This window comes from Homo sapiens, chromosome 5, assembly GCF_000001405.40.
Source record: "Homo sapiens chromosome 5, GRCh38.p14 Primary Assembly".
NCBI lineage: Eukaryota > Metazoa > Chordata > Mammalia > Primates > Hominidae > Homo > Homo sapiens.
In genome coordinates, this window is record NC_000005.10 from 152,656,947 (window position 1) to 152,672,694 (window position 15,748).

The 15,748-nt window shown below is 36.7% G+C and overlaps 1 long non-coding RNA gene across 1 annotated transcript in view, besides 1 other annotated feature; it reads right to left on the bottom strand.

Moving 5' to 3' along the window:
* The window catches only part of LINC01470 (long intergenic non-protein coding RNA 1470), a 353,385-nt gene that overhangs the window by 37,982 nt on the left and 299,655 nt on the right, over positions 1-15,748 (bottom strand). The gene's annotated exons all lie outside the window — the stretch shown is intronic.
* Positions 2,179-2,718: an enhancer, noted in NCBI's record as "NANOG-H3K27ac-H3K4me1 hESC enhancer chr5:152038685-152039224 (GRCh37/hg19 assembly coordinates)". NCBI's record gives its function as "activates a minimal SCP1, AML or CMV promoter by ChIP-STARR-seq in naive H9 embryonic stem cells {active_cell/tissue: H9 hESC(naive)}" and the evidence as "EXISTENCE:reporter gene assay evidence [ECO:0000049][PMID:30033119]".

The following is a 15,748-nucleotide window of genomic DNA, read 5'->3' on the forward strand; positions in this document are numbered from 1 at the left end:
TTTGTGTCTCTGTTTCCTTCAGTTCTGCTCTGATTTTAGTTATTTCTTGCCTTCTGCTAGCTTTTGAATGTGTTTGCTCTTGCTTTTCTAGTTCTTTTAATTGTGATGTTAGGGTGTCAATTTTGGATCTTTCCTACTTTCTCTTGTGGGCATTTAGTGCTATAAATTTCCCTCTACACACTGCTTTGAATGCGTCCCAGAGATTCTGGTATGTTGTGTCTTTGTTCTCGTTGGTTTCAAAGAACATCTTTATTACTGCCTTCATTTCGTTATGTACCCAGTAGTCATTCAGGAGCAGGTTGTTCAGTTTCCATGTAGTTGAGAGGTTTTGAGTGAGATTCTTAATCCTGAGTTCTAGTTTGATTGCACTGTGGTCTGAGAGATAGTTTGTTATAATTTCTGTTCTTTTACATTTGCTGAAGAGAGCTTCACTTCCAAGTATGTGGTCAATTTTGGAATGGGTGTGGTGTGGTGCTGAAAAAAATGTATATTCTGTTGATTTGGGGTGGAGAGTTCTGTAGATGTCTATTAGGTCCACTTGGTGCAGAGCTGAGTTCAATTCCTGGGTATCCTTGTTGACTTTCTGTCTCGTTGATCTGTCTAATGTTGACAGTGGGGTGTTAAAGTTTCCCATTATTAATGTGTGGGAGTCTAAGTCTCTTTGTAGGTCACTCAGGACTTGCTTTATGAATCTGGGTGCTCCTGTATTGGGTGCATATATATTTAGGATAGTTAGCTCTTCTTGTTGAATTGATCCCTTTACCATTATGTAATGGCCTTCTTTGTCTCTTTTGATCTTTGTTGGTTTAAAGTCTGTTTTATCAGAGACTAGGATTGCAACCCCTGCCTTTTTTTGTTTTCCATTTGCTTGGTAGATCTTCCTCCATCCTTTTATTTTGAGCCTATGTGTGTCTCTGCACATGAGATGGGTTTCCTGAATACAGCACACTGTTGGGTCTTGACTCTTTATCCAATTTGCCAGTCTGTGTCTTTTAATTGGTGCATTTAGTCCATTTACATTTAAAGTTAATATTGTTATGTGTGAATTTGATCCTGTCATTATGATGTTAGGTGGTTATTTTGCTTGTTAGTTGATGCAGTTTCTTCCTAGTCTCAATGGTCTTTACATTTTGGCATGATTTTGCAGCACCTGGTACTGGTTGTTCCTTTCCATGTTTAGTGCTTCCTTCAGGAGCTCTTTTAGGGCAGGCCTGGTGGTGACAAAATCTCTCAGCATTTGCTTGTCTGTAAAGTATTTTATTTCTCCTTCACTTATGAAGCTTAGTTTGGGTGGATATGAAATTCTGGGTTGAAAATTCTTTTCTTTAAGAATGTTGAATATTGGCCCCCACTCTCTTCTGGCTTGTAGGGTTTCTGCCAAGAAATCCGCTGTTAGTCTGATGGGCTTCCCTTTGAGAGTAACCCGACCTTTCTCTCTGGCTGCCCTTAACATTTTTTCCTTCATTTCAACTTTGGTGAATCTGACAATTATGTGTCTTGGAGTTGCTCTTCTTGAGGAGTATCTTTGTGGCGTTCTCTGTATTTCCTGAATCTGAACGTTGGCCTGCCTTGCTAGATTGGGGAAGTTCTCCTGGATAATATCCTGCAGAGTGTTTTCCAACTTGTTTCCATTCTCCCCATCACTTTCAGGTACACCAATCAGACGTAGATTTGGTCTTTTCACATAGTCCCATATTTCTTGGAGGCTTTGCTCATTTCTTTTTATTCTTTTTTCTCTAAACTTCCCTTCTCGCTTCATTTCATTCATTTCATCTTCCATCACTGATACCCTTTCTTCCAGTTGATCGCATCGGCTCCTGAGGCTTCTGCATTCTTCACGTAGTTCTGGAGCCTTGGTTTTCAGCTCCATCAGCTCCTTTAAGCTGTATTGATTATTCCATTTATACATTCTTCTAAATTTTTTTCAAAGTTTTCAACTTCTTTGCCTTTGGTTTGAATGTCCTCCCATAGCTCAGAGTAATTTGATCGTCTGAAGCCTTCTTCTCTCAGCTCATCAAAGTCATTCTCCATCCAGCTTTGTTCCGTTGCTGGTGAGGAAGTGTGTTCCTCTGGAGGAGGAGAGGCACTCTGCTTTTTAGAGTTTCCAGTTTTTCTGTTCTGTTTTTTCCCCATCTCTGTGGTTTTATCTACTTTTGTTCTTTGATGATGGTGATGTACCGATGGGTTTTTGGTGTGGATGTCCTTTCTGTTTGTTAGTTTTCCTTCTAACAGACAGGACCCTCAGCTGCAGGTCTGTTGGAGTACCCTGCCGTGTGAGGTGTCAGTGTGCCCCTGCTGGGGGGTGTCTCCCAGTTAGGCTGCTCAGGGGTCAGGGACCCACTTGAGGAGGCAGTCTGCCCGTTCTCAGATCTCCAGCTTCGTGCTGGGAGAACCATTGCTCTCTTCAAAGCTGTCAGACAGGGACATTTAAGTCTGCAGAGGTTACTGCTGTCTTTTGTTTGTCTGTGCCCTGCCCCCAGAGGTGGAGCCTACAGAGTCAGGCAGGCCTCCTTGAGCTGTGGTGGGCTCCACCCAGTTGGAGCTTCCCGGCTGCTTTGTTTACCTAAGCAAGCCTGGGCAATGGTGGGCGCCCCTCCCCCAGCCTCGCTGCCTCCTTGCAGTTTGATCTCAGACTGCTGTGCTAGCAATCAGCGAGACTCCGTGGGCGTGGGCGTAGGACCCTCCCAGCCAGGTGCGGTCCGTCACCCCTTTCTTTGACTCGGAAAGGGAACTCCCTGACCCCTTGCGCTTCCCAAGTGAGGCAATGCCTTGCCCTGCTTCGGCATGCGCACGGTGCACGCACCCACTGACCTGCACCCACTGTCTGGCACTCCCTAGTGAGATGAACCCAGTACCTCAGATGGAAATGTAGAAATCACCGTCTTCTGCGTTGCTCACGCTGGGAGCTGTAGACTGGAGCTGTTCCTATTCGGCCATCTTGGCTCCTCCCCCAATACTGACCTTGTTTGTTAAACTCATTTTTTAGTTCCAGTTTTGTTTGTAGATTCTTTCAAATTTTTAAAATATAGTATTATATTTCTCTCATATTTCTCTCTAGAGAAAGGTATTTTCATGTTTTGCTTTTCAAAGTGTATGCCATCTATTTTTCCTTTGTCTATGGGCCTTATAACGTTGTATTTTTTTTTTCTGATTCAACTTGTAGGAATTCTTTATATATTTTAGTTAAGAGTTCTTCAGTGGCTATTTGTGTTATAAAATCTTTCATCCTGTGTCTTGCATTTTCATTATTTACTTAACTGCATCTTTTGATATACAGATATTTTCTATTAAAAATAGAATTTTATAGTAAGTTCTTCCATACAGCTAAAGAAAGAGCAAAACAAAGCACCAATCTTATACACATTCTTCCATGACATATAAAATAAATAAAAACTCCCCTACTTGCCTTCTGAGGTAAGCATAATAGAACTTGACAAGAGCATTACAAGAAACCAAAATTGCAGGTCAAGTTTTCTAACGAACATGGATACAATATTCCCAAACAAAATATTAAAATCTAATGACACATAAAATAATATAACCAAGATGGGTTTATTCCAGGAATGCAAGATTTATTTTACATTTGAAAGTCATTGCATTTCATTACATTAATGGAAGAAAGCAGAAAAATTTTATAAAATCAAGTGAACCTCAATATGATTAAAAAAAAAATACCTGCAGTGGCCATTATATTTAACAGTCCCATACTGAAAGCCTTTTTTTACCCCCAAGTGTAGGAACTACATGAAGATGTCTGACATTGTGACTTCCATACAGCATGTGCGAAAGCTTCTAGCCAGTGCAGTAGGAAAGAAGAATAACTGGCATAAGATTTGAAAAAATGAAGTAAAACTAGTAGTATTTGCAGATAACATGCTTATGTACATTGAGAATCTTCATGTATATACATTTAAAAGTAAATTTTAGAGAAAATAAGGCAAGATGTTGGAATAGGACTTTCTAGCATTCATTCCCCCACAGAAACTGAGGATGGAGAAATCAGTTTGCCCAATATCATAAAGCTATAAAATCATGAAGCTGGAATACAAACCTGATGAATTTGCATAGCTACAATAATAGAAGTACAATGTTTTCATTGAAGATTTCTAAGGTATAAAAGAACATATTAAATTCAGTGCCTAAAGAATGTACATTACTGAAAACACCCAGGAGGGGTTGCATGTGCCAATATCTATGGGAACTCAGATATATCCTCTAAACTTTTCAAATGCAGTAGTTCTCAAAGTGGTTATGACATTAATGTTCTCAAACAATTTGAAGATGGGCCTTAGATAATTTTTCCTCTAAGTACTGACATTTTTAAATGATTTAAACATTACAGCAGATGAGAGATTACAGCATCTGGTGTAGCACAGAAATAAGAGATACATTGAAGACGGTAGAAAGGACAGTTTCAAATTACCCATGTCACCTGTCCCCACAAGACCAGGCAGCACAGCATAGAGATAAATACCATTTACTGAAGGGAAGAACAGGAAAGTAAGCACTAGAATTTTCCTGGGACCCAATTAAAACCTTAGACTAGCACTAGGCAGGCCCCCATGGCCATAGACTTCAGGCTTGTACCTGTGGACAGAGCATCCTGGCCTGCTTCAGCACAGGCTGGATCCTGTAGCTACAGGCTTTCCTGACAGACCCAGTTACAAGGCCCTCCACACCCTGAGGCATGCAACAGCACTCCCTAGCCATCAGGCTGGCACTTGAGGACCCAGACTTCAGGCCCATTCCAAGTTCCAGATCACTTTGGTGGATCCACCCAGTACCAGAGTTGCTCTTGTAGATCTCCACTTTAGAAGACCTAGGGTCTAAGTTCATTCCAGTAGACCCCACTGCTGGCACAGCCCCAAAGAATCCAGGCTCCAGAACTGCCCCTGTGGACCCTGTTTCCTAGCTTTCAGGCCAGCATCTACAAACCAAACCTTTAGGCCAGTTTCTGTGGACTCAGACTTCATGACTTCCCTAGTAGCAGGGTCCAGGTTTCCTCCAATAAACCTTGGTTCCAGGCTGGCCCCTGTAGACTCAGGCTCAAGGCCTACCCCCACGCTTCTGTAGATCCAGGCTTCAGGCCAACCCCCATGGGTACAGTCTCTAGGTCCAATGACATAGATTCAGGTGCCAGACCTTCCTGCCTGCTGATGGACCACATCTGATAGTCTGTTCAGAATATCAGGACAGGGTGATTGGCATTGTCTGGGAAAGCCCTTCACCAGTCTGCAAGCACTACAATAAGTTCCTACTTCTTCAAACACACAAACATGAATATAAAGCAATGAGAAAACATTAAAAAACAAGGAGATATAATACCATCAAAAGAATACAATTTCCCAATAGCTAACTTCTAAAAATTGGAGACATACAAACTGCCTGACAAAGGACAGTCATGCACCACATAAGGACGTTTTGGTCAATGATGAAGCACATGTATGATAGTGCTCCCTTCAATTATAATGGAGCTGAAAAATTCCTATTGCCTAGTGATACTGTAACCATCATAACTTTGTAACACAATGCACTATATGTTTGTGGTGATGCTTGTGTAAATAAACCCACTGCCTTGCCAGTATATAAAAGTATTGCACATACGTATAGTACAAAATATTTGACAAAGATAATAAATATGTTATTGATAGAGGTATTCCGGAAGAAGGCATTGCTATCCTAGGAAGTGAAATCTCTATTCATGTTACTGCTCCCAAAGGCAGTCCAGTAGGACAAGATATGGAGGTAGAAGACAGTGATATTTATGATACTGACCTTGTATAAGCTTAGGCTAATGTATATGTCTGTTTTTAACAAAAACATTTAAAAAGTACAAAAAAAAAATAAACACATATAGAATGATGATTTAAAGAAAATATTTTTGTCCAACTGTACAAGGTGTTTGTGATAAACGTAAGTGTGAGTTAAAAAAATTTAAAATTTATGAAGTAGAAAGTTACAGTAAGCTGAAGAAAGAAAATTTAAAAAATAAATTTAGTGTAGCCTAACTGTACAATGTTTATGAAGTCTACAGTAGTATACAATAATGTCCTAGGCCTTCACCAATCACTGACTCACTCGGAGCCACTTCCAGTCCTGCAGTCCCCATTCACAGCAAGTGGCCTCTAGATTTTTAAAATAGCATACCACTTTAAAAATCTTTCATACCATATTTCTACCATACCTTGTCTGTGTTTAGATACACAAATACATACAATTGTGTTACAACTGCCTATGGTACAGTAACATGCTATAAAGGTTTTTAGCCTAGGAGCAATAGGCTATACCATCTAGGTTTGTATAAGTACACTCTGATGTTCACATAAATGACAAAATTGCATAACATCACATTTCTCAGAATGTAACCTGGTTGTTTTAAGGAAGTTCAGTAAGCATCAAATACAGGGAAAAAACTCAAGGAATAAGTGACCAAAATTAGAAACTTAACAGAGATCAAAGCACTTTAAAAAAATCAAACAAATCCTGGAACCAAAAACCATAAAATGAAATTTTAAAAGCAATAGAACATGTCAACATGCAATAGCGGATTGATGATACAGAAGAATCAGTAAACTCAAAGAAAATTATTTGAAAATATACAATTAGAGGAGAAAAAAGAGAAGAGAATGAAAAGAAATTAAGAAGGCTTTCTTCATTCTAAAAAGTTACGGATTTGTGGGGCAGCATAAAAAGAGCAAATATTCGTTATTGGAGTTTGTGTAGGAGAAGAGAAAGAGGGCAGAAAGCTTACTTAAAGAAATAATAGCAGAAAACTTTTCAAATATTGGGAAAGATATACCTATCCAGGGATAGGAACGTCAAATGTGTCCAAGAAGATTTAATCCAAACAAGACAACTCCAAGGCATATTTTATAATCAAACTAACAAAAATCAAAGATAAGTAGGGGATCTCAAAAGCAGCAAAAGATAAGCATATTAGATATAATGGAGTTCCAATAAGGCAAGCATATTTCTCAGCAGAAGCCTCACCATCGAGGAAACGATATGTTAAAAAATTGTAGAAAAACAAAGCAAAACAACACAACTATGATCAAGAATATTTTTTTCTGGCAAAGATGTCCTTCAAAAATGAAGGAGAGATAAAGACTCTCCCGGCCAAACAAAAGCTGAGAGAGTTCATTACCACCAGATCTGCCTTACAAGAAATGCTAAAGGAAATTCTTTAAGCTGAAGGAAAAGGATGGAAATCAATAAGAAAACATATGAAAACATATAACTCACTGGTAAAAGTAAGTACACTTTTTTTTTCCAGAATATGCCCACGGTGGTATGTGAATCACATATTTTTAGTATAAGGAAAAATACGAAAATACAAAAAATAGTATCTACAATAATTTAAAGGGAATGCACAATATAAAATGTATATTGTGACATTGAAAACATAAAATTTTGGGAGCAGGTGAAATAAAAGTGTAGAATTGTTTATGCAATCAAAGTTATTAGCTTAAAATAGCCAGTTATAATTATGTTTTATGTAAGCCTCATAGTAAATACAAACTAAAACCTCGTAGTAGGCGAGGCACAGTGGCTCATGGCTGTAATCCTGGCACTTTGGGAAGCTGAGGCAGGCAGATAACCTGAGGTCAGAAGTTTGAGACCAGCCTGGCCAACATAGTGAATACTAAAAATACAAAAATTTGTACTACAAATACAAAAATTAGCTGGGTGTGTTTCAATGTAAATAAATCTTCCAATCAAAAGACCAAGTGGCTGAATTGGGGGGAAAAATACACAACTACATGTTGCCTACAGTAGAAGCATTTCACTATTAAGGTTACAAATTGACAGTGAAGGGATAAAAAAAGATATGCCATGTAAGAAGAAAAAATGAGAGCAGAGATAGCTGCACTTATATAAGATAAAGTAGATTTTAAGTCAAAAACTGCAAAATGAGACAAAGAACATCATTTATATAAAGAGACTTATTAATCAAGAGGATATAACATTTGTAAATATATATGTACCTAACATTGGAACACCTAAATAGATAAAGCAAATATTAATGGATCAGAAGGGAGAAATAGAGTACACTGAAATTATGTAGGGGACTTTAATATCCCACTTTCAGCAATGAACAGATCATTCAAACTGACTTGAATTACACTTTAAACTAAATGGACCTCACAAGACGTATATAGAACATTCCATCTAACAGCAACAGAATATACATTTCTGTCAAGCACACATGGAACATTTTCTAGGGTAGACCACAAAACAAGCCTTAACAAATTCAAGAAGATTGGAATTATATCAGCTATCTTTTCTGATCACACGGTATGAAACTAGAAATCAATAACAGTTGAAAATTTAGAAAATTTACAAAAAACATAGAAATGAAACAACTTGCTACTGTAAAACCACTAAAAGGAATATCATAAAATACCTTGAAACAAATGAAAATGGGCATGCAACATGCCAAAACATGGGGTACAGCAAAGGCAGTTTAAGATGACAGTTTACAGTGATAAATGTGTACATCAAGAAAGACCTTAAGTAAATGACCCAATATTACACTTCAAGAAATTACAAAAAGAGCAAATTAAGTCCAAAAGTTAGCTTAAGGAAGAAAATAATAGAGATTAGAGACTAGAAAAATAATTTAAAAATCAACAAAACTAGGGATTTTTTAGAAAAATAAAATCTACAAATCTTTAGGTAGACTTCTAAAAAGACCCAAATGAAATCAGAAATGAAAGAAGAAATACCACCAACAAAGAGGATCATAAGAGACTCTAAGCAACAATAGATTTGATAACCTAAAAGTAATGGATAAATTCCTAGATACAAACAACTTACAAAGACTGAGTCATCAAGAAAATCCAAAGAGGTCAATAACGAAGAAAAACATTGATTCAGCGATGAAAAAGTATCACATCTAAGAAAAGCCCAGGACCTGATGTCTTTACTGATAAATTCTACCAAATATTTAAAGAAGAACTGGGCGTAGTGGCATGCACCTGTAGTCCCAGCTACTTGGGAGGCTGAGCCAAGAGGATCACTTGAGGCTAGGAGTCCAAGGCTGTAAGATGCTATGATTATGCCTGTCAATAGCCACGGTACTCCAGCCTGGGCAACAGAGTGAGAACCTATTTCTACAAAAATAAAAATAAAAGAATAAATAAATACTAATCTTTCTCAAATTCTTCAAAAAAATCTAAGAGGAAGCAATATTTCCCAACCCATTTCATGAGGCCAGCATTACCCTGATACCAAATCCACACAAGGACACTACAGGAAAAGAAAATTATAGGCCAATATCCCTGATACAGATACAAAATTTCACAACAAAATACTAAAACACATTAAAAACAAAATTCAAAAACACATTAAAATGATCATTCACCATGATCAACTGGGACTTATCCCAGGGATGCAAGGGTGATTCAACATATACAAATCAGTAAATGTGATAATACCACATTAACAGAATGAAGCACAAAACTCTGATGATCATCTTCATAGATGCATAAAAGGCACTTGATGAAATTCAACATAGTTTCATAATAAAATATCTCAGTAGATTAGGTTTCAAAGGAATATACTTCAACACAATAAAGGCCATGTGTGACAACCCCACAGCTGACATCATCCTTACTGGTGAAAAGTTGAAAGCTTTTCCTCTAAGACCAGGAGCAAGATAAGGCTGCTCACTCTCATCATTTCTTTCTTTCTTTTCTTTTCTTTTTTTGAGATGGAGTCTCGTTCTGTTGCCAGGCTGGAGTGCGGTGGTGCGATCTCGGCTCACTGCAACCTCTGCCTACCAGGTTCAAGTGATTTCCCCTGCCCCAGACTCCTGAGTAGCTGGGATTACAGGTGTGAGCCACCACACCCAGCCCACTCTCATCATTTCTATTCAACATAGTACTGGACCATTCTAACCAAAGCAATGAGGCAAAAGAAAGAAAAAAGAGGCATTCAACAGGAGAGAAAGAAGTGAAATTGTCACTATTTACTGATAATACGATTTTATATACAGAAAACTTTAAAGATCTGTTAAAAAAAAAAACCTGCTAGAAGAAATAAATGAATACAGCAAGGCCTCAATCTTGTCAAAAGATTCTTGGAAACTGCAACTTTAAGTGAAATGACCTATAATGAAACCATTTTTTCTCAACATTATAATTAAACAACATTGAAGGAATCTACTTTATTCAAGGACCTGTCATATGTCATTTCATTTAAAGTCATTCTTTCTGAAAGCCACTGATGGTGTTAAATGAGGACTTACTGGACAGCAAAGTTTCAGGACACAAAGTCAACATGCAAAAACCAGTAGCATTTCTACATAAATAATTAACCATCTGAAAAGAAAATCAAGAAAATGATCTCATTTATAATAGTATCAGAAAGACTAAAATATTCGAAAACAAATTTAACCAATGAGGTAAAATAACTATACACATGAAAAACTAAAAGCATTAATTTAAAAAATTGAAGGCACAACTAAATGAAAAGATATCTTATTTTCATAAATTAGAAGAGTATGGTTAAAATACATTACTCAAGGAAATGTACAGATTCAATGCAATCTCTATCAAAATTCCAAAGGTATTTTTTGCAGAAATAGAAAAAAATCCTAAAATTTGTGTGAAAACACAAAAGGCCCCAAATAGCCAAAGCAATCTTCAGTAATAGAACAAAGCTGGTAATATTAGGCTGCCCATTTTCAAAAGATGCTACACAAAGCAACATACTGCTGATGTATAAGCAGACAACAGATCAATGAAACAGAATATAGAGCTCAGAAATAAGGTCATGCATTTACAGTCTATTTTCAACAAATGTGCCAAGAATATACAATGGGGAAAGAGTAGCCTCCTAAATAAATAGTGTTGGAGAAACTGTATATCCATATGTAGAAGAATGGAATTAAACCCTTATCTGAACATTTTATACAAAACTCAGTTCAAACTAGAATAAATTTATAAACAGAAGACCTGAACTTGTGAAACAACTAGAAGAACAAATAGGAGGAAAATTCTATGACATTGGTGTAGGCAATGATTTTTTGAATATGACCTCAAAAGCACAGGTAAGAAAAGCAAAAATCGACAAATGAGATTACATGAAACTAAAAAGCCTCTGCATAGCCAAGAAAACAATCAACAGGGTGAAGAGATAACTCATGGATTAGGGAAAAAATACTTGCAAACCGTATATCTAGTAAGGAATTAATATCCTATATATAAGGAACTTAATAGAAAGCAAAATATATAAGGAACTTAAATATTCCAATTAAAAGTGGACAAAGAACCTGAATAGACATTTAGCAAAAGAAGTTACACAAATGGCCAGATATGTGAAACAATGTTCAACATCACTAATCATCAGAGAATTGCAAGTGAAAACTATAACAAGATATCACCCCACTCCTGTTAGAATGGCTACTTAAAGACAAAACAAGTGTTAGTTGGACTCTGTTAGTTAGACAGTTAGTTGGACAAGTGTTAGTTAGATTAGTACAGCCAATACTGAAAATATTGTGGAAGTTTTTCTAAACAATAGAGATAAAACTATCATATGATCTAGTAATTCCACTTTAGGTATATATCCAAAGGAAATGAAGTCAATATCTCAAATGGAACTCTGCACTCTCATATTCCTTGCATCATTATTTGCAGTTGTCAAGATATGGAATCAACCTATGTGACCATCAAGGAATGAGTAAAGAAAAATGATATATATACATAACGGAATACTATTAACCTTTAAAAAGGAAGAGAAATTCTATCATTTGAGACAACATGGATGAACTTGGAAGTCATTACATTAAATAAGCCAGGCACAGAAAGGCAAATATTACATAATGTAGCTTATATATAGAATAAAAAAAAATTGAGCTCAAAGAAGCACGGAAGAAAATGATGGTTACCAGGGGCTGGGACGGGGACTGGAGAGATGTTGTTTGGTCAAATGATACAAAATTTCAGTTAGCTAGAGGTAATAAGTTTAAGAATTCTAATGTATAACACACTGACTATCATTAGTAACAATGTCTTATATTCTTGAAAATCACTAAGAGTAGATTTTAAGTGTTCTCACCACAAAAAAAAGGTGTTTGAAGAAATACATATGTTAGTTTGATGTAGCCATTCCACCATGCATACTTATTTTAAAATATGCTGTACAAAGGAATACGTACAATGTTAACTCATCAATTAAAACAGCATGAAGAAAAGGTTTAAAATATTTTAAAGAATAATCCCAAAATTTTAGGAATAAAAGGGGAATATTAAGACGTGAAATATAAAAATCAATTGCATTTGCATATACTAACAACAATTATAAAATAAATAAATAAATTTTTGAAACCACTGAAATTGGAATTCAAACAACATTAGATATCTAGGAATAAATAACAGGAGATACACAACATTCCTCAGAAAACTAGAAAATATTACTGAGATAAACTAAAGAACACCAAAATACATGAAAAGTTATTTAATGTTCATGAATTAGATGCCTTACTATTTTACGGATGTCATTTCTCTTCCACGTTGCTATATAGGCTCAGTATAATATCAGTAAAAATAATATCAGGGATTTTTTTTTTCTGTAGAAACTGACAAGCTGATTTTAAAGAATACAGTAAGAGAGTCTATTCTGCCAGAAATCAAGACAAATTAGCTACAGAAATTAAAACAGAATGATATCGGTAGGGAGTTGATAAATTGATCAGTCGAACAGCCTATAGAGTCTCAGAACAAGTGGATACATATTCAGTCACTTGACTTATAGAAATGAAGTTTTGTCAATAAATGGTTCCAGCACAATTGCCCTAGTTGTAAAGCTCATCTGCTACCTTAAATCATAAACATTCAATTTCTATTTGATCATGGATCTAAATATGAAAAAAAACAAATTTCTAGAAAATAATATGTAGGAGAATATCTTCTCTGATAGATAAACATCTGATCTTGAGGTAGGTAGGTAGGCAAATAATTGTCAAACAGGGCACAAACAGCACTAACCATAAGAAAACAGAATGGTAAGTTGGACTTCATTAATATTCATCTATCAATTTTTTAAAATTATCTACTTGTAAAGAATAAGTAAATTGGAATTTGCAATCAGATATTGGAAATAAGGGAATATTGTCTTTTCTGTCACAACACATACATGCATGCACACACACATTCCTCTCTCCCTCTCTCCTTCCTAACTGCCCAGAAAACAAAAGACAAAACAATCTTATACACCAAATATAATGGTCCTTGATTATACATGAATTGACAATATTTTGTAAGCAAAATCATGTTCATATTTAGATAGATAATTAAATTACAATTTGCTTAAATTCATGGACTATCTCAGGCTTTTCCAGGTGATCAATTTGACTTGACTAGCAGTAAGATTCATACCATCCTTAATCCACGGGACTCCAAACAGAAACTCAAGGCTAAGTGAGAAAGGTCTTGTGAGGAGGTAAGTAACACTCAAGTTCACATAGGCCTACAATCTAACTCAAGACAGCACCCAAACCACAGAGTGCGATTTAAGACTACAAATTAGAAGGCTGGGCATAGTGGCTCAAACCTGTAATCCCAGCACTTGTGGAGGCCAAGGTGGGCAGATCACCTGAGGTCAGGAGTTCGAGACCAGCCTGGCCAACATGGTGAAGCTTTGTTTCTACTAAAAATACAAAAATTAGCTGGGCGTGGTGGCAGGCACCTATAATCCCAGCTACTCGGGAGGCTGAGTCAGGAGAATTGCTTGAACCCGGCGGGTGGAGGTTGCAGTGAGCCGAGATTGTGCCACTTCACTCCAGCCTTGGCGAAAGAGTGAAACTCCGTCGAAGAAGAAGAGGAGGAAGAGGAAGAAAAGGAGAAGAAGAGAAAAGAAGAAGAAGACGAAGAAGAAGAAGAAGGAAGAAGAAGAAGAAAACAACTACAAATTAGAATAGGTAAGGTACCTGGGAATAGAGGCAGCAGGAGGAAGCCTGCAATGTTTGTGTTTCTTGGCATGTGACTCAGTAGTTAAATATAATTTGGGATGTCTGAGGGGGTTAGAAATTGCAATTTGGAATCAGCCCCAGGACTCCTCCTATCCAATTTTACCAGGAATAGGCTAATATTTTGTACCATATCTTCCTCCTGTGTTTTTTTCCCAAGTTATAAAGTTAATGGGGAAAGAGGGATGATCAGTTATTGTACTTAAAACCAAACAGTGGCCCACTGAATTTGATGCTTTTATGGGACATTCACATGGAAGGGATGTTCGAATAACCATCTTTCAATACAAGTGTCAGGTGTTGGCTCATGAGGAGTTAGAGATAGAGGTCTGGAGTACAAAAGAGATAACATGAACAGAGAGTGAGTGGGAGGAGAAATGATGGAGGGCCTACAGTTCCCAAGTAAGTTGTTTCGAACATGTTCTCTGAGAAGACAGGAAGCCTCTAAGTCAATGTATATTTTGAAATGCATATACAGTTATTGATTTATTGTGCTGTTGAACTGACATCTACTGAAACTCGTAGGTAATATAGCAACAGTTCATAATCTTATTCTTCTTCTCCTGCACTATGAGACTTCCTATGGCTCATAAAAACATATCTCATTGTGGCATTTAGAGGAGTAGAAAAAGAAAGCATTGGTGTAGGTTTCTGAAAATAAATTGCTCTAATACTGCAGCTGTATTAAACTGTCATAAGCAATATTCCCATTGGGCTCATGGATAAAACACTGGCTTTAAACAGTGCCTCATGACTAGGTCCAAGGCTCTAAATTATATCTGGGTTTAGCCACTTGTTACAGAGGTAAGATGAATGTTTGGGAATTAACCATGCCAACTGAACACCTCTGGAATGCTGACAGAGATGAAGCATGTTAATGGAGTGCTACACTTCAGACTGATTTATTAAAAATGGATTATCTGGAGAGAAAGTAATTCTTGGTAGGACTTGGCTTAAATTGATTCCCTTGTTGCCCTTGAAAATAAGGGAAAATCCCCAAGCTTTCTTAGTGGTACATAGAGATGATGGTGTTGGATGGAGCTAAAGGTAAAAAACATTTCTAGGCCCAGCTGTGTCAATCAATAACTTGTGGCATATATATGTCTTCTTACTAAGAATGATAGTTTTAAAATTACGTGATTTCTGTGGAATCTTACAGCTTTAATATGCTTGGGTTAAATTAAAGTGTTTCTCATCAAATAAGTAGGAATTAAAATAATCTTTGTTATATTTGGGACTGTCCCTTCTGTGAGGCTCAGGCTTTTATTTATTCCCATGAAATTTTATTCTAAAATTTTGTAAAAATTCAATTTTTTTTTTATTTTGTTAAATGTGATTATGATGTTGTGGCTACTTAGGAGAATATCCTTTTGTGGAAGAGATGTGTGCTAGAGAAATTAGGAGTGAAGAATTAGGATGATTGTGACTTTCAATGTTCCAGGCTGAAAAGGTCTTTTATCTTTAATGAAAAGTACATTATATCTGCTATTGCTTTACAGCTTGCAAAGTAAAACTATCACTTTCATAAAGATTATCTTGTTGATCCTTGGTCTTCTAACGCACTTAGGATTAAATCTAAAATTTTGAAATACCTACAAGGCCTTACATGATGTGGCCCCAGACTGATTTTTCAGTTTCCTTTAGAGCCACTCCCTCCCTCCTTGGATCCGGAAGCACCAACCTTTTGAGCTCTCCAACATGTCACACCCCTTTCCTTCCCCAGGGTCTTTGTAAATGTTTGTTTTTAGCCACACAACTCTTTCCATTCTCACAGCC